This window comes from Homo sapiens, chromosome 7 (genome assembly GCF_000001405.40).
Source record: "Homo sapiens chromosome 7, GRCh38.p14 Primary Assembly".
NCBI classification, from domain to species: domain Eukaryota; kingdom Metazoa; phylum Chordata; class Mammalia; order Primates; family Hominidae; genus Homo; species Homo sapiens.
Genome location: NC_000007.14, coordinates 6,241,194 through 6,260,030, shown reverse-complemented (window position 1 = coordinate 6,260,030; position 18,837 = coordinate 6,241,194). Strand labels below are relative to the sequence as shown.

The 18,837-nt window shown below is 41.6% G+C and overlaps 1 protein-coding gene across 3 annotated transcripts in view, besides 2 other annotated features; it reads left to right on the top strand.

Annotated features, from left to right (window-relative positions):
• The window catches only part of CYTH3 (cytohesin 3), a 110,846-nt gene that overhangs the window by 12,594 nt on the left and 79,415 nt on the right, over positions 1–18,837 (top strand). The gene's annotated exons all lie outside the window — the stretch shown is intronic.
• Positions 3,346–3,395: an enhancer, noted in NCBI's record as "active region_25620". NCBI's record gives its function as "activates an Ori minimal core promoter by ATAC-STARR-seq in GM12878 lymphoblastoid cells {active_cell/tissue: GM12878}" and the evidence as "EXISTENCE:reporter gene assay evidence [ECO:0000049][PMID:35858748]".
• Positions 9,346–9,505: an enhancer, noted in NCBI's record as "active region_25619". NCBI's record gives its function as "activates an Ori minimal core promoter by ATAC-STARR-seq in GM12878 lymphoblastoid cells {active_cell/tissue: GM12878}" and the evidence as "EXISTENCE:reporter gene assay evidence [ECO:0000049][PMID:35858748]".

The window sequence follows — 18,837 nt, the reverse complement described above, 5'->3', positions numbered from 1 at the left end:
TGGAGAAACCCTGTTTCTACTAAAAATACAAAATTAGCCTGGTGTGGTGGTGCATGCCTGCAATCCCAGCTACTTAGGAGGCTGAGGCAGGAGAATCACTTGAACCTGGGAGGCGGAGGTTGTGGTGAGCCGAGATCACGCCATTGCTCTCCAGCCTGGGCAACAAGAGCGAAAATCCGTCTTAAAAAAAAAAAAAAATATATATATATATATATATTATATATATATATATATATATATATATATTATATATATATAATATATATATATATAATATATATATATATTATATATATGTATGTAAAATATTTTGAGTTTGTGGGGAAAATAGTAAATCATTTAAATGAGAGTAGAAAATACATGACTCTCCATCCTGTTTTTGAAGTTAACCCAACATAAACTTTTTATAGTTAATGTCAGGTACCCAATTAACATAGAATAGACATGAGATTCTGTAGTGCTTTATAATTTGGCTGGAGCCAATACAGCAAGCATTTATTTCGGATAAATATCTTTTCACTATTATGTAAATATTGGAAGAGACTCGCCTGAGTCAATTTCAGTTGGCCAAGAAGATATTTTGATTTACTTTCCTCGAGTAAATTTACTCTTTGAGCTGACTTGGTTTTTAGTAAGTCACCAGGAACACTGTTCAAATAGGAGAGAATAAAAGTTCCTGCTTTAAACTCTCAACAGGGCTATTGTTAATTACTGTAGTCTTCTTTTGAAAAACTTATGTCTGTAATTAATAAAATCAGCAATTTGCTGTAAAACAAAGCATTTGGATGATGATCAGAAAGTATTTCCCAATATCTAGGTAATTAGTGATTTTTTTCCCCCAAGTTTTCATCCAGATGTTTGGCAATGTGCAGACACAGGCTTACTGCAACTTTATAATTCACTTTCATGAGAACATATAATATTCTCCGTTTATTTTGGACATCAGAGTTTCCTTTTTCTCTGGACAGATACGTATGAAACACATGCTCTTTGAGTGGAGTTTGTGGTCCTCTGAGAATTCTCTGAAGGAGGAAATGGGTTGACCTATTTGGTTGCTATGAAGTAAAAACAATCTTGTTTTCATTTTTTAGTGAACATCTGGGTTGCATTTATTATTTCACATTCTGGAGATTCTGTAAAACCACAATTTGATAATATGAGGGTTCATCAAAGCGGTAATTATTGAGCTATTTTTATAGTTGATTCAAGAATTAGGGTGGCTGATAGACTTTAAACAATATTTTTTCGTTTCTATAAAATGTAACTTAAATAACAACTCTTGATTTGAAACCATAAAATGGGATGTAGATATTTGGGGGACAGAAGAAGGATTGAACAACCAGTTTATTTCTCTGTTGCCTGTTGCCTTGTAGCTTGTCGTCATTGTTACAGCCATATTTGACTCTGTGTAGAAGACATTGTTGATGCCCTATTGCAAATCCACCCTTCTTTGCTTCCTTGCCCACAGAACCATGAATTGTTTACATATTTACCCATCAGGGAAGAGGACTTTATCACCACAAAGGGCTATATCTTAAATAGTCTTAGCAGGTGGGATAATCCCTCTTTCCTTATCCATAAGTGGAGGAGAGGTGAAAGTGTCACCCAAGTCTGGCCAGTATGCAGGGCAGTTTGCAGGGGGATGTCTGCAAGAAGTTTCTTCCTTCACAAATAAATATATGAGGAGTTGCGTTTCTTTTCTTTTCTTTTTTTTTTTTGAGACTGTGTCTTGCTCTGTCTCCTATGCCAGAGTGCAGTGGCATGATCATGGCTCTTTGCGGTCTCAACCTCCTTGGCTCCAGTGATCCCCCCACCTCAGCCTCTCAAGTAGCTAGGCCCTCACCACCACGCTGCGCTAATTTAAAAGTATTTTTTGGAAAAAAAAGAAAAAGCAAACCAAAGAAACAAAAAATATTTTTTGTAGAGACAAGATCTTGCTACGTTGCTCAGGCTGGTCCTAAACTCCTGGCCTCAAGTGATCCTCCCAGGAGTGAGCCACCGTGCCCAGCCCTGTTGCATTTCTTATGCTAGACTTTGTTGGACCTGGATGAGTAGCCAGCTTGCATTCACAATGGCTCTTAATTAAGCCTGTCCATTTCCAAGCCCACACCCTGAGGATGACCAGCGGGATTCTAGATGGTGCTGTTGCTGAATTTCACCCACCCAGGAACCTCCCTACCTCCACACTTCCTGTCATGTGGGACAGTAAATACCCCTCTTGTTTAAATGATTGAACAGCAGTGTACTGTAACTTGGAGCTCAAGGCATCTGGTGTGATACTGGCTGTAGCAGCAGGTAGGTTTCATTCTGTCATTCATTCAGTAAGGATCTCCTCGCCATAGAGTGCGAAGAGAAAAACACCTTTTCTCTGCCATAAATATTCATTAACCATATAAATATTACTTTAAGAACTTGGCTAGGTTATATTTTCTTTTTGAGACTAACACTTTCTCCCCTTTTAATAAAACAAAATACGTTTTCGTATTCTTAGAAATACATTGTTTCATTTGGCAAATCTTTATGTGTATTTTAACGTGTACATTTAGAAGTATGCAGTAATCAAAGGTGGCATTGGCAATTTAATATTCTGTTAGAAGACAGGACTTCCTTTTAGTTCTTTACAGAGAGGAAATAAAATAATCAAGAATGTCCTTTTCCAAGTTTCAGTAATTAGATTAAAATTTTTTTGAGTTGAGAAAGGATCAGACAAATGAATTCAGTTTTGTTTGTGTTAGAGTATGGGAAAATTGAAGAATTTTAGTGTCTTTTGAATGTTTGGCCTGTTCACATGATGAGGCTGTATTTCCCAGGCGTGGGAAGATGAGTGATTGTAGACTTTGATTCAGTATATGACCACACTTCTGAGAGCATGACACATTTCGAGAATAAATGATGCCTTTCATTGCCTTATGTAAAAAAAAATCTTCACGTTGGATAAGTCTTCTTCTAAAATGTTGCGTTTTCTCGGGAATCACAGGGTGTCTGTTATGGACTATGTTCCTGAAATTTAGTTCAAAGTAGTGGTTAAACTGTATACTAGTCAGATGGTTACTAGGATGTTTCAGTTTTCACAAAAGAAAGTCAAATGCCTTCTTTCCTTCCTTTTTGTGGTCAGACTGGTCTTGAAGTCTGCTAGCTCTTGCTCGCCACACGTTGTCCCGCCAGCTTCACTCTTGATGACAGCTCTCAGAGGGAGCAGAGTCCACATGGATGTGGTGTGTCCTGCCCTCCCTTGGCTCCCCCAGTAGTTGCTCTGCCTGACAAGTGCCCAGTAATTTGGCTGGACATGCAGAACATGACTTTTTAATTTTTTTCATCTGGAAAGAACATAAGCTATTTCCCCTGGGTTCTGCTGCTGTTAGTACTTGGACATTTGTTTTAGGATTTAAGTCTCTATTACCTTCCCACTGCTTCCACCGCTCCCCACTTTTTCCTTCTCAGGAGAGGAGTCTGGGGGCTTCTCTCTTTGCATGTCTTCCTGTCAAGTATTACCTATTATGATTCTGGTGAAGAGCGGACTGTCTTGCATCTAAAGGTAATGAAGACCATCTACTTCAGAAGTCTTGTTAAGTTCTGCGCTAAAACATTTATCTCCCATTTCTGTTATACCTGTAAAGGGGAGCAAAGAATTTGTGTCTTCAGAGAGAAGTCCACTATCCTAGTCCTTTCAGCCCCCTTGAGGTTTGGTGCAGGCCTGCCTGGGAGTTCCACAAATGGGAGTGTGCTCTAGGGCCCCCTGCCTGAACCAGTGGCCAGTGACTCCCTTTGGAGAGAATATCCCGGCAGAAGTTCTCGAGTCTCAGGACTTGCTGTAGGCGGTTTTATCTTGGTTTCAGCCATCACGAAATGTAGTTGATTGGATCAGTGACTGGGAATTTCAAGAACAGATTTTACAGGAGTGCTGTTTCCTTAGAGTTGTAAAGTTATTGACAGGGCCATTTCAACTTTGGTTAAACAGATTAAAGGTTGGCCGGGCGCAATGGCTCATGCCTGTAATCCCAGCACTTTGGGAGGCCGAGGTGGGTGGATCACGAGGTCAGGAGATCGAGACCATCCTGGCTAACACAGTGAAACCCTGTCTCTACTAAAAATACAAAAAATTAGCTGGGCGTAGTGGCGGGCACCTGTAGTCCCAGCTACTCAGGAGGCTGAGGCAGGAGAATCGCGTTAACCTGGAAGGCGGAGCTTGTAGTGAGCAGAGATCGCGCCACTGCACTTCAGCCTGGGTGACAGAGGGAGATTCCATCTCAAAAAAAAAAAAAAAAAAAAAAACAGATTAAAGGTCAAACTTGGGTAGTCACACTAACCTGAGCGTCTCCCCCACATAGGGAGTCTGTAAGTCCTTAATTTCATAAGAGACTTGAAGTAGAAGCTGTTTTCTCCTGATGTCCCCAACATATCCCTCCCTCCCTATCTTGATGAGGTGCTGGACCCCCAGGACTACTGCAGTGCTGTGGTGGGGGCCTTTCTGGTCCTCAGCCCAGCTTCTTCACGGCCGACTCTGTTGGGATGCATCATGCTGGAGATAACTATGTAGCCATTCCTTCCTAAATAGTCTTAGTCCTGTGGGATTGGAGAGGCCCTCTTTTCCCTTGGGGTCTCTAGGAATTAGGATTTCAGAACTTTTCCCTGTTTGCTATATCAGGTCAGCCATTGAGGATATTTCGGGTAATTCCCCTTGTTCAAGGCAGAATATTGTCATCTATAATGTTAATGGTTCTGAGAATTTGTATTCATACTTTCTGTATGCTTACATAAGTTTGTTTAAACATTTGAGCCTGATTGGTGTTGACAAATATTTGGTATTGACATATTTTTAAGTAAATATCTGCAGCTCTGTCATTTCTAGCCTTGTGATTTTGTGTAAGTTACTTAATCTCCCTAAGCTGTTAAAAAACCGAAGTGAAATTATTTATATGAAGAATTTATCAAAAATCTCGACGATTGTAATAGTAGGCATTCAAAACTGTTAGTCATCAGTGTGTTAAGCCTCTGGCCTGCCTGTCTTTACATACTGAGTAGAGTGAGTTGGAAGAATTGTTTTATTTGGGCTGAGGAATAACTGATGATTGGCAATATGATTATTATATCTTTTCTTCCCAACTTTGTATTTTGAAAATGTTCAAATCTACAGAAAAGTTGAAGGAATGGTACGATGAATCCTATATGTCTTTCACCTAAATTCACCAGCTGCTAACATTTGGCCACATTTGCTTGTCTGTCTTTGTATTACAATTTGTGTGTGTGTGACTGAACCCATTTGAAAGCAAGATACAAACATGGGCAGGTGCGATGGCTCACGCCTATAATCCCAGCACTTTGGGAGGCCAAGGTGCGCAGATTGTTTGAGGTCAGGAGTTCGAGACCAGCCTGGCCAACATGGTGAAAGCCTGTCTCTACTAAAAATACAAAAAATTAGCCGAGCATTGTGGTATGCGCCTGTAATCCCAGCTTCTTGGGAGGCTGAGGCATGAGAATAGCTTGAGCCTGGGAGGCGGAGGTTGCAGTGAGCTGAGATCACGCCACTGCACTCCAGCCTAGACGACAGAACGAGACTCCGTCTCAAAAAGTTACAAACATCATAACGCTTTTCAAAGAAATACTTTAGCACTCGTCTTCTAAGGACATTCTCCTACATAACTACAGCCGTTATCATTCTTAAGATAACTAACAGTCATTCCATAATATTGTTCCAAAATAGTACACATTCTGCTTTCCCCAGTTGTTACCAAAATGTTTTTATAGCTTTCTTTTTTTTTTAAACCTATCTAGGCTCTAATTAAGATTTACACCTTCTATTTAGTTATCTTTTATCAGTCTTATTTTTGTTGTTGTTTGTTTGTTTTTGAGGTGGAGTCTTGCTCTGTGGCCAGGGCTGGAGTGCAGTGGTGCGATCTCTCAGCTCACTTCAACCTCCGTCTCCCGGGTTCACGTGATTCTCCTGCCTCACCCTCCTGAGTAGTTGGGATTATAGGTGCCTGCCACTGCACCTGGCCTCCTTTCTTTATTTTTTATTTTATTTATTTATTTTTATTTTTGAGACAGAGTCTCACTCTGTCACCCAGGCTGGAGTGCAGTGGCATGATCTTGGCTCACTGCAACCGCTGCCTCCCGGGTTCAAGTGATTCTCCTGCCTCACCCTCCCGAGTAGTTGGGATTACAGGTGCCTGCCACTGCACCTGGCCTCTTTTGTTTATTTATTTATTTTTATTTTTGAGACAGCATCTCACTCTGTCACCCAGGCTGGAGTGCAGTCTCATGATCTCGGCTCACTGCAACTTCCGCCTCCCGGGTTCAAGTGATTCTCCTGCCTCAACCTCCCCAGTAGCTGGGACTACAGGTGCCTACTACCACGCCCGGCTAATTTTTGTATTTTTAGTAGAGATAGGGTTTCATCAAATTGGCCAGGCTGGTCTCAAACTCCTGACCTTGTGATCTGCCCGCCTTGGCCTCCCAAAGTGTTGGGATTACAGGCGTGAGCCACCGTGCCCGGCTGTTTTTAATTTTAAAATGTGTTTTGGTGGCTGGGTGCGATGGATCAGGCTGGTAATTTCAGCACTTTGAGAGGCCGAGGCAGGCGGATCACTTGAGGCCAGGAGTTCAAGACCAGCCTGGCCAACATGGTGAAACCCTATCTCTACTAAAAATACAAAAAAATTAACTGGGCATGGTGCTGCATACCTGAAATCTCAAGCTGAGGCACGAGAATTGCTTGAACCCAGGAGGCAGAGGTTGCAGTGAGCCAAGGTTCTGCCAGTGCACTCCAGCCTGGGTGAACACAGTATGACTCTGTCTCAAAAAAAAAAAAAAAAAATTGTTTTCGTGACACCTTTTTGAAGAGTCCAGGCTTATTGTCTAATATCATTATTTGCATCCTATAGACTAGATTGCATGTGTAAGCAGAATTGATAAGTGCTTCAGTTTCTTTAATTTTTTAATTGTAAATATGTTAAAAATCATTTTGATTCAAGGTAAAAGTGACATTCATTTTTCTTGTTCTTTGGTAAGTGTGGATTAAGTTGGTAACCAGAAGGAGTTACGGAGTGGTTCAGATGTCAGTGGAATGTGTGTGTGGGTAAATTTGGAACAAGCATCCACAGTGGTTTCTCAGACTCACACCCATCCGGAGGTAGTTATCTGGCTTAACATAGTGAGGATTTTATTTTAATATTTGGCCATGGTTTTATAAAGAAATGAACTTAACAATTGGAAAATTTAGTAAGACAAACTATATTTACATAATTTTCAAGAGATACTTTTGCTGTCAGATCCTTGGATGAAGACTAAACCTTAAATCTCTCAGGAATGCATCTTTTTCTTCTTCCCTCCCTCAACACTTTCCTATTGATTTAAAAAAAGAGCTTTAACTGCAGCTGAGACTAATACAGGATCCAGCTGTAGCTTTTTTGTTGTTGTTCATGTATCCGGTGATGGGCACAGCAAACTCATTGTATGAAAAGCCAATAAAGGAAAGGGCAGGGTGGGAAAAAAAATGACACTCCTCTAAAAGTATTCAAGAAATAGCAACAGGGTCTCGGAGTCTCCCTTTCAGATGACTGATTTAAATTCCATTCTAAAGTATTAATTTTGTTCGTGACTAGTCTAGAAGGCATTTTAATTTTCCCTTTTAATTATGTACACGCCACGTAACCAGAGAGTATATGTGAGGCTGACACATTATTTTCCTTGGAGGCAGAAAATAGTAAAGCATGAGAACCCAGAGAACTAAACGCTCCTCTTGTAAAATAGGGCAAAGATTCTTCAAAATACTGTTCATGTTCATGCTGGTATAGAGATAGCAAGGATCTGTGAAAGAAAGCCAGTTTCTCTTAAATTTGTTCAGTAGTACTCAAATTTATGCATTTACCATACAGCAAATAAATTCAGAATCAGTAGTTCAATCAAACTACATTCCACATTTGCCTATCTGTTTCAGTGTAATTTCTATAAAAGATTTGCATCTTCTGCTCTGTCTTAACAGGACCAGGTCCATATCACCATCCTGTAGCTGAAAATGAATTATGTTTTAAAGTGGTTTTTATGATCAATGTAATGATCATAAGACTAGTGATTTTCACATACTTATCTCAAGCATTTTGTTTTTCTTTTTTCACATTAAGGGGGTCAGATTTCTCATATTTCTTGTAATTGTAGCCAGACGTCCTGTTTGGGGACTATTAAATACCAATGGTGCCTGTGAAGAACTCATGCGATTCTGTGGTAACCATCTGAGTTATTCTTTGTAGATTTGATTTTATGGACAGGCCTCTTTGAAGTCCTGTACTCTATTTTTAGAAGCTCTTTTTTACGTTTCCGTGGTTCAGGGCATCAGTCATAAACATATTTATTATTCAGCACAAAAATGTTGTTCAGTGTCTTAAGGCTGTTTAAACTTTACGGAAATAATAAACCAGTGGCACTTCAGTGGATGTAATATATGAGCACTACTGAACAAATTTAAGGGCGGAGAATTTTGCGGTCCTTCACAGATTGCTGCTCTGTCTGCGCCGCCATGAACGGTATTTTGAAGAATCCTTTCCTATTTTACACTGAGAGGGTTCCGTCTCCATGCTTCTCACACGTTTTGATTTTCTGCCTCCCACTGAAAGAAACGCTTTTGTAGCCCTTCAAGAAACTTCCTACATGTCTCCCCTCCTTCTCTCCTGCCTCATTATTACTCCTTTAAAGAAAAAAAAAAAAAAGAATAGTCTGATAGCTTTCTTTTCAGATTTATTTTATTTTATTTATTTTTTTTGAGACGGTGTTTCGCTCTTGTTGCCCAGGCTGGAGTGCAATGGCGTGATCTCGGCTCACTGCAACCTCCGCCACCTGGATTCACGCGATTCTCCTGCTTCAACTTCTGAAGTAGCTGAGACTACAGGCGCCCGCCACCACGTCCAGCTAATTTTTCTATTTTTAGTGGAGATGGGGTTTTACCATGTTGGCCAGGCTGGTCTTGAACTCCTGACCTCAGTCCACCCGCCTTGGCCTCCCAAAGTGCTGGGATTACAGGCGTGAGCCACTGAGCCCGGCTCTTCTCAGATTTATGTATGATTGGTTTGCTGCTCTGTGTTGTAGCAGAGACCCTGTGCTCTGAAGTAATTTCTGATCCAGTGAAATATTACAGGAGCGAGGGACTGTGCACCTTCAGTGTATTTGGTAATAAAGCACCTATTCTCTTTTTAGAAATCACTATAATCCACATGCCATTATAGTCATCCTTTTAAATTACACAATTGAATGGCTTTTAGTATATTCATAAAGTTGTGCGACCATCAGCACTATCTAATTTTAGAACATTTTTATCACTTCAAAAAGAACCTGGGCCCCATTAGCTGTCATCCCCTCCTCTGCAACCCCTGGCAGTCATTCATTGACTTTTTGTTTCCATGGACATGTCACGTAAATGGAATCATAGAATATGTGGTCTTCTGTGTTTGGCATTTTTCACTCAGCAGGTTCATCCATGTTGTGGCATGAGTCATTTTCCCAGGTTCATCCGTGTTGCAGCTCGATTCAGTGTCAGTGTCTGTGCTTCTCCTGTGGGTGGAACTGAGACTTGGATTGGTTTTAGTGTTGGGAGTGGTCAGAGAGGTTTTGCTCACCTCTGTCACATGGTTGAATCTGTGGCTGTGTGCTATCTTGAAGGTTTTTAGGTTTGCTTGTGTTTTCTTCCTATTGAAAAGGTTGAAGTTTATTTTAACCCGTATTATTTGAAGGACCACATCAAATCCTTGCTATTGAAATCCTTTAGTTGATAATCTTATGAACAGTTGCATCTGGAGTAGAATCATGTTGTCTGTAGAAAGTTTTTACTCTCTCTGAAGACCAATAGTGGGTTCAAGAAACAGAATTCCCCAAGGGAGCCATACTGAAATCTGTTAACAGAAGCGTGAAGAGTCTACTTCTCGGGGATTCCAGTGTGATCCCAGTGGTGGACATAGGACAACAAATTTCCATCCCCTGTTCACCCCAAAATCTCGACAAATGACAGGGAAGAGACTGGGATGGGGGGCAAGTGGGGAGAAGTTGGTCAAAGCGTACAGTCTTGCATTTGTAAGATGAATAAATTCTGGAGACCTCATGTACAGCCCTGTGACTACAGTTAGAGATAACGTATTGTATGCTTGAAATTTGCAGAGTGATTTTAAGTATTCTCACTACACAAGCACAAGGTAACTATGTGAGGCGAGAGGTATGTTAATCTTCCTGACTGTGGTCATCATTTCACAGTGTCTCCTTAATCAAGACATCGAGATGTACACCTTGAATATATCCAATTTTTAGTTGTCAATTGTATCTCAACGTAGGTGGGGAAAAAAGAGCCTGGGAAGGGACCTTTTGCAAAGGATAGAGTGTAACACACTTTTGGAAGGAAACTACAAATGGGAAACCTATAAGCAGATAAAACAGAAGGAGGGTTTAGAGTAAGCAGGAGCAGCTTCTGGGCAGCCCCTCACGGGGCTGTGCTCAGACTAGTTAGTGTTTGGATTTTGGGTTCTGTTGGTGATCGTGGAAATTGTGCTGCAAATAAGGAGAATTCAAAGGCCCTCCGAAGCCACTGTGCTGGGAGGGTTTTCTACACTCTTCTCTGTCCTTTCCTGTTCCTCTTGTTTTGAGGAGTCTACAGCATTTTACCCATAAGCAAATTTTCTTTACAGAGATTGGATTCCTTGCCTGGGGAGAATTGGAACTCAATGGGTGTGTACCAACACCCCAAGTAAAGCTTTTTAACATTTTTGTTTGTTTGTTTTGTTTATGCGGCTTCTCCAGTAAAGGGCCCTATCTTTTTCATCCCCAAGAGAAGCCCTCCAGTGGACAAGCTGTGCTCACAAACACAGAACATAGTGAACCTTCCCATTTGAAAGGGAAATCGAGTGAGAAAAGTTACCTACACGCAACACCAAAGGAAGACATAGCTAGCTTCATCGCATTTTTAAATGTGTACAAACAGCAAGGACCTCCAGATGGATGAAAAAACCCAACAGCGTGAAAGAGAAAATTTAAAATAAAATTTCTATAGAAACAGAGAAAGCTGACATCAAAAGAATTCAGAAGATAGAACACTGAAAAATGGTCATTGGCAACTTCCAGGAAGATGTGACTTGGGCACTAGGCTTTGTCTCACTTCTTACCTCCCCTCCCTTGAATCACCAGATCCCCATGGAAGTGATTGAGAAAAAGAGAGATGAAAAGCTGAATCAGAATAGATAGTGGGATCAGGGTGAAGAAATACCAGGGCCTGACTCATCACTCTGTTTCCTTAGAACTCAGTGCAGGGTTGTGAGGAACATATGGAGATGTGGTGTTGGCTGTGCTAATTTGGGAGAGCAGAGAGCGAGGGAGGCCTGATGACCCTGAGTGGCCACGGGCAGCCGGGGTGGGCTTGTGCAGCAGCGATATTGATGAGCAGCTGAACTGGGAGGCCAGAGGACACACGCGGCTTCAACACGCTCAAAACTGCTAGAGCTTCTCCTGGGCGCCACAGTCCTCCTTCCTGGTGCATTGGGTGGCATCCCACCCATCTGGAGTGGAAGCCAGGTCTAGACAGGGAGAGTTAGATGCAGAAACTAGAAAACAAAAGCAACACGATAGGCTCAGAGAAGGAGGCTCCCAGAGCTGACGTTCCCTTGAAGATGGACCACATCTCTGAATAGGCAGTGCAGTTTATATATGCATCCTCCAGCCTATAAACTTAGAGTTAGAAAACAGCAACAATAAAAACCCACCAACGTTTAGCAGCATTCTGAGGAGGAGGTCCAGCTATTCTTTTTTTTTTTTTTGGCTGGGGGGGGGTTGGGGGAGGATGGGTCTAAATACTATTGTTCAGAAATAAAGAATAAAGCAACATGTTTCCAAAAGAAAATAGGAGGGGGATATAATTTTTGAGGCAGAGGAATAGTATAATTTAGAAAATAGTAATTATAGAAATGAGAAGTAAATTTCAGATTGAATCTACTTTGTGCTGTTCTTAATAAACTTCAAGAAACACAAATAAGTGGTTGAAAGATGAGATAAAGCAACAGGCCAAGCTGAAAACTAGGGCAGAGAGAGTTATAAAATGAGGCTGGGCACTAAGCTTATGCCTGTATTCCCAGCGCTTTGGGAGGCTGAGATGGGGGGATCACTGGAGCCCAGGAGTTTAAGACCAGGAGTTCGAGACCAGCCTGGGAACCATGGTAAGCCCTCCGTCTCTACAAAAAACAAGAAAAATTTGGCCAGGTGTGGTGGTACACGCTGCACCTGTGGTCCCAGCTACTCAGAGGCTAAGGTGGGAGGATCGCTTGAGCCCAGAAGTTGTCAAGACTGCAGTGAGCTGTGATTGTAGCACTGCACTCCAGCCTGGGCGACAGACCCTGTCTCAAAAATAAATAAATAAAAATTATAAAGTGAAATGAAAGAGCTGAAAGAAACTGTAATGACAGTAAAAGCATTTGCAGAATTTTAAACTCCCTTACGATTCATGAAGAGCAAAAGTTTACAATGTAGAAAGTTAAATTATTGCTGTGATCTGAATAAATGTTGTTCGTAAAGAAGATACCAAAACAAATAGAACAGAAACAATAATCAGATTCAATGGGAAAAAGTATCTTTGAGCTGAAAAAAAACGAGCTGTTTCTGTATATTCAAAGAGCTCATTCTGCCTTAGATAAAATTAGTGGGAAGAGCAAGAAAGAGCAAGAGAGTACCCTGCAAACAGCCAGTCAGAACCTGGGGAGAGGGTTACTTACAACGAAATCGGGATGGTTTTAGACTTTTCTATAACATTGCCAGAAAATAGTGTCGTGGAGCTGAGGCTAAGTTTTAAGGGAAAAAAGGTTGTAACTAAGAATTAAATAGTCACACTAATTGTTGTTAATTTGTGAAGGCAGCAGAAAGATGTTCTCTGAAGATACAGAAGTTGGAGCTAGCACACTGCCTTCAGTGGGAGCTCACCCTGCCTTTGGACTTAGGAGTTATGTGAGCCAGTACCTTTCCTTACTGTTTAAGGCCATCAGCTTTTTTCTACTACCTGTACCTGAAATTTTTCTGTATGCCTTCTGTAAATTTTTCTTAAACAAAACTTGTTCATGGATATATTCTAACCAACTAAAAGATTGTTTGAATAACTCAAGAATGCGGAACTTGTGGTGTTAAAAAAAATACTGACATTGAATTGAAATCATGTAAACATAAATTTAAGTCTAAATTATAAACTTGATTACAGATGTTACAAATGAAAAGTCAAATATTGTAAATACTGAAAGAGAAGATATGTAATGGAAAGAGAAAAATCCCAGTTATTCAGTAACAATGCCAACAATAATAAATCTGGGTCAGATTCACTAGTAGAAACTGAGAAGTAGGTGGGGGTGGGGCAGGGACTGTTAGGAGAAAGTAAAAGCCCAGCCTTTATTTTTTACTGTTTTATTTTTGTTTTTGATAATTAGAAAAATACAGGTAGTGGTATGGTTTTAAAAAAAAATTAAAGATAATCACTAGAAAATTCAAAGTAGGATGTTCACATTCCACGTCACACATCTACATGTGTGAGGATATATGCATTCCTCGCTGGAGGAGGGAAAACAAAAGATAAATTTGATCACAGGATAAGGTCATGTCACGCAAAAATTCTATGGTATTTGGTTTTGTAAATTGGCTTTTAAAACTTACTTAGAATTTTGGTCTGGCATGGTAGCTCGTGGCTATAATCCCACGGTTTTGGGAGTTGAGGCGGGAGGAACACTTGAGGCAGGAGTTCGCCACCAGCCTGGGGAGCAAAGTGAGACCCCTGTCTCTTTTAAAAAAAAAAAAAAAATTATCCAGGTGTTGTGGCATGCTACTCAGGAGGCTGAGGCAGGACGATTACTTGAGCTCAAGAGTTTGAGGCCGCAGTGAGCTGTGATCATGTCTCTGCGTTCCAGTCTGGGTGACAGAGCAAGACTGTCTCAAAAAAGTTAAAAAAAAAAATTAAAAATTATTTAGAGGATAATTACCTATTTTGCCCTGTGTTTTAGAAAATCTTTAAGAAGCAAGTACCTTTTTTGGGGAGAGGGTTAATGGGAGATAATCCATTTTGTGAAATGTATTTGTTTAGAAATTTAGATCATTTGTGATTCCTCCCCAAACTCGGTCTCAAAAAAAATAAAAAAGAGTTTCACTCTTGCTGCCCAGGCTGTAGCGCAGTGGCACGATCTCGGCTCATTGCAACCTTGACCTCCTAAGTTCAGGTGATTCTCCTGCCTCAGCTTCCTGAGTAGCTGGGATTACAGGCGTGCACTACCATGGCTGGCTACTTTTGTACTTTTAGTAGAGACGGGGTTTCACCATGTTGGTCAGGCTGGTCTCCAAGTCCTGATCTCAGGTGATCCGCCTGCCTCGGCCTCCCGAAGTGCTGGAATTACAGGCGTGAGCTGCCATGCCCGGCCCCCAAACTCTTTTGAGGTAATTCTGGACAAACCTTTGTGAAGGTCTTGGAGGTAGAAACGCTTGGGTGGTGGCTGGAGATGAGTGAAAGTAGGGAAGAAGCCTGCTCCCGCTGGACACATTCTCTCTAGGGTGCACCTTCTCCCAGGGTCACGAAGGCTGGGATGAAAAAGAAAGTAGAGAGCAGTGTGAGCTTCCCCATCAGAGTATCAGCAGTCAGTGGAGGAGGAGCCAGAATTTGTGGGGCCTGAAACTCTCTAATTCTGAGGGCCCTCTTTCAGAAAAAGAATACAAATTTAGGTATCAAAATGAAAATTTAGAATGAAAAAGAAGTCACTAGTTGTACATTTTGAAAAGCTAAAACTACAAACAACTCAAAACCTAGAACCATATAACACAGTTCTTTCTTTGGCACACAACCTTACACTTTCCCCCTGCATTTTTGGTTACCTATTCTAATCTCTTCACGTAGCAATTTTGTAACATTTTATGTAAAAAGACTAGAAGGCCGGGCGCGGTGGCTCATGCCTGTAATCCCAGCACTTTGGAAGGCCGGGGCGGGTGGATCATGAGGTCAGGAGATTGAGACCATCCTGCCTGACACGGGAAACCATGTCTCTACTAAAAATACAAAAAAAAAAAAAAAAAAAAAAAAAAAAAAAAAAAAAATTAGCCGGGCGTGGTGGCGGGTGACTGTAGTCCCAGCTACTCGGGAGGCTGAGGCAGGAGAATGGCGTGAACCCGGGAGGCAGAGGTTGCAGTGAGCCGAGATTGCACCACCGCACTCCAGCCTGGGTGACAGAGCAAGAATCTGTCTCAAAAAAATAAAATAAAAGACTAGACTAAAGATAATCCAGTCTTTCCTCCAGGATGACTGAAAACATTTAAGAAACTTTCTTTCAAGGTTTTGACCATTAAAGTTTTAAGTTTCCATTTTAAAACAATAATTTAGCCTAGGAAATGTAGTGAGACCCCATCTTTACAAAAAAATTAAAAGCTGGGTGTGATGGTGTATACTGGTAGTCCCAGCTACTCAGGAGGCTGAGGCAGGAGGATCGCTTGAGTCCAGGTGGTTGAGGCTGCAGTGAGCCATGATTGTGCCACTGCTCTCCAGCATGGGTGACGAAGACCCTGTCTCAAACAAAACAAAAATAATTTTTCGGACATTTTGAAGCATCTTCTGGTCTTTTTCCTTTCAGTTTGTTTTTGGATTCTACTAGGGTACTTCAGAATACACAGAATAAAGCATTCTAAAAGCAATTAGTCTGTAATTAATGCACATGCAAAAGCAGTTGAAATAAATTCATTAAAAATTGCCACGAAGTTGAGTTACGTCATTCAATCCTGACTCTAGATGAATAGGTTTAGGAGTTTTGTCATCTGAAAACCTGTTTTTTTCCCCCCAGGCTGTTTTGTTGCTTTGGTAACATTCTTTTCTGCCATTTCTTCTGTGAAGTCTGAAAGTGTCCGACTTTGACAGGACAAAATGCATCAGATACATAAGATGCAATTCTGTATGTTGGGCTGCATAGAACATGCAACTTCAACACAGGCTTACTTACTATTTTAGTACCAGTACAGGTTTAAAACCTGTAAATACAGGAATTCTAATAAATTCTTCAAAATGTCAAAAAATGATGTATTTATAACTTACTTTGAACAGTCAAGTATATTCCTAACAGGAGAGAATTTCCATTTTGATGAGACAACAATGACAATGAAATCTTTTTAAAAATTCACTTCTCTGGTGATTGGAAAGTTTTCTCCTAGATTATCTCTGACTCCATACGATTCAAACCTCATTTCTTCTCCATTATCCTCACACTCCTGGTGTTAGTTACTTTAAGACATAGTCATATTAAAATACCACCTCTGACCCTACAGTTTTCATCAATTCATTGGGTAAGTTGATATAGGGCCGGAAGGAATATTCTAGGAAGTCATTTGTCCATTTGGAATGGCTGGCTGTAATTTAATTATACGCAGAAGAAGCTGAAAGCCACCTAAGTAAATTCCACTAAACCCAAACCAAATGTATTTCCAACTGAACCTCCCCTTATGGATTCCCAAAATACCCATCCCCTTAAGATGCCACCTGCCAGAAGAAGTGTGGTGAAGTGGAAAAAACTCTTAACCAACAGAGCTTTCTGGAGGTTCAAGTGTGCTTAACTTCACCATGTTATTACATTGCTTCCCCACCCCCATCCTGCCCCATCCCACCCATGCTTTGACCCAAAGCATGTGCTCGGTTAGCTTTGTTGTCACTGACCGCTGCTGGGGGTCAGGTGGTAGAGCCAGACCTGGCCAGTCACAGGTGTCGGCTGCCTTTTCACAGACCTGCTCCTCTATGCACAGAGACACAGGCCCAGCCCGCTGGGCTCTTCTCATCTTACCAAGGGCAGTTTGCGCTCTTATGCCTGGAGGTGAGAAGCCCTAATTTTTGCACTCAATGTCTATTAACTTTTCAGGCCAGACTTAGGGCAGAGAGTTGCTGGCTTGACAAGTTTTGGGGAAGAAATACCATTTTTAGAGCACCTGCAATTAATCATGAGACTAGGTGTGCATCTATTGACCACAGTCACCTTGGGAGGCACAAGTTTTACCTCCTAGAGAACTGAAGGGGCATGTCCCAGGACACCCATGGCAAGCTGTGAAACTTGCATTGTGGAACCCAGGTCTCCCTCACCTGGTTCTTTTTTTGTTCCCAGGCCTCTGTGCAGCCTCACGATTGGTGACCCTTGGTCCATTCTGGGGTCCCAGCACAGGGACTGCCTAGAGGGTGGCAGTGGGGTCTGGGAGGAGTATGGGAGGCACTGGGTAGGATGGTGTTGAATGTAGTATGACAGGGAATTCCTGTGACTCAGAGCATCTGGCTCCAATCTTGAGCTCATCCCCCTTTAGGCCTTCACTTGTTGAAAATGTAAATGATCCTGGACCTACATAGAGTCCCTTAAGAAGGCCCCTCTTCACGCCTGTAATCCCAGCACTTTTGGAGGCCGAGGCGGGCGGATCACAAGATCAGGAGTTTGAGACCAGCCTGGCCAATATGGTGAAACCCCATCTCTACTAAAAACACAAAAATTAGCCGGGTGTGGTGACGAGTGCCTGTAGTCCCAGCTACTCAGGAGGCTGAGGGAGGAGAATCGCTTGAACCTGGGAGGCGGAGGTTGCAGTGAGCCAAGATCGTGCCACTGCACTCCAGCCTGGGCAACAGAGTGAGACTCCGTCTTAAAAAAAAAAAAAAAAAAATGCCAGGCGCGGTGGCTCATGTCTGTAATCCCAGCACTTTGGGAGGCCGAGGCGGGTGGATCATGACGTCAGGAGATGGAGACCATCCTGGCCAACGCGGTGAAACCCCATCTCTACTAAAAATACAAAAAATTAGGTGGGCGTAGTGGTGGGCGCCTGTAGTCCCAGCTACTCGGGAGGCTGAGACAGGAGAATGGTGTGAACCTGGGAGGTGGAGCTTGCAGTGAGCCGAGATTGTACCACTGCACTCCAGCCTGGGTGACAGAGCGAGACTCCATCTCAAAAAACAAACAAAGAAAAAACCCCTCTGCCCTGTTCCCTTCCTTTGTGTAAAGGTGTGTTTATTGTGTTACAGTGGTATATGCAAGCATGAATGAGACTATTCTGTCCCCTGTCCTACCTCTTAGAAATAATTATTAGTTTCTTCTTTATGCATTTAATGTTTATTTATGCAATTATAATAAAAATGTAAATTCTTATCACTGCCTCCTGTTACACCTCACCTTTTTCATGTAATATCTGGAGATCATTTCGCTACACAGAGCCTTTTCGCACCTTATTTTTTTAAAACTGATAGCTGTCATAATTGAGCTTTTCCTGTACTCTAGGCCTTGTTCTAGCCCTTTCTTTCCCTCCCCACTGCAACCCCACCACTTTTTTTAAACAGCTCTATAGTATTCCATTGTGCTAATGGATCGGTTTATTTATCCAGTACCTTATTGATGGGCACTTGGATTGTTTCTAATCTTTCGCTATTATGTTGTAGAGAATGTGAATATGCCGTTTTTTACACATTTATCTGAGAGAGAAATTTTCAGAAGTGGGATTCTTATGCTAAAAGGAAAATGTGTTTAAAATGTTGTTAGATGTTATCAGACTTCCCTCCACACTCACTGTTTTTTACACCCATCAACAATGTGTGAGATTGCCTGGTTCCCCACAGTTTTGTCAACAGGTAGTCTGTCAAACTTTCGGATTTTTGCCAGTCTGATGGGTCAGAAATGGTATTTCCGTTTAGTTTGCATTTGCTCTTCTCTGGTTATATGCCCATTTATCTGTTGGGTTGTTAGTCTTTTTCAAATTCTCGAAGGTCTTTGCATAGTAGGGGATTAGTTCCCATGGATTGCAAATGTTATCTTCCACTTCACCATTTCTCTTTTGACTCCTTGGGTTTACTTGGGT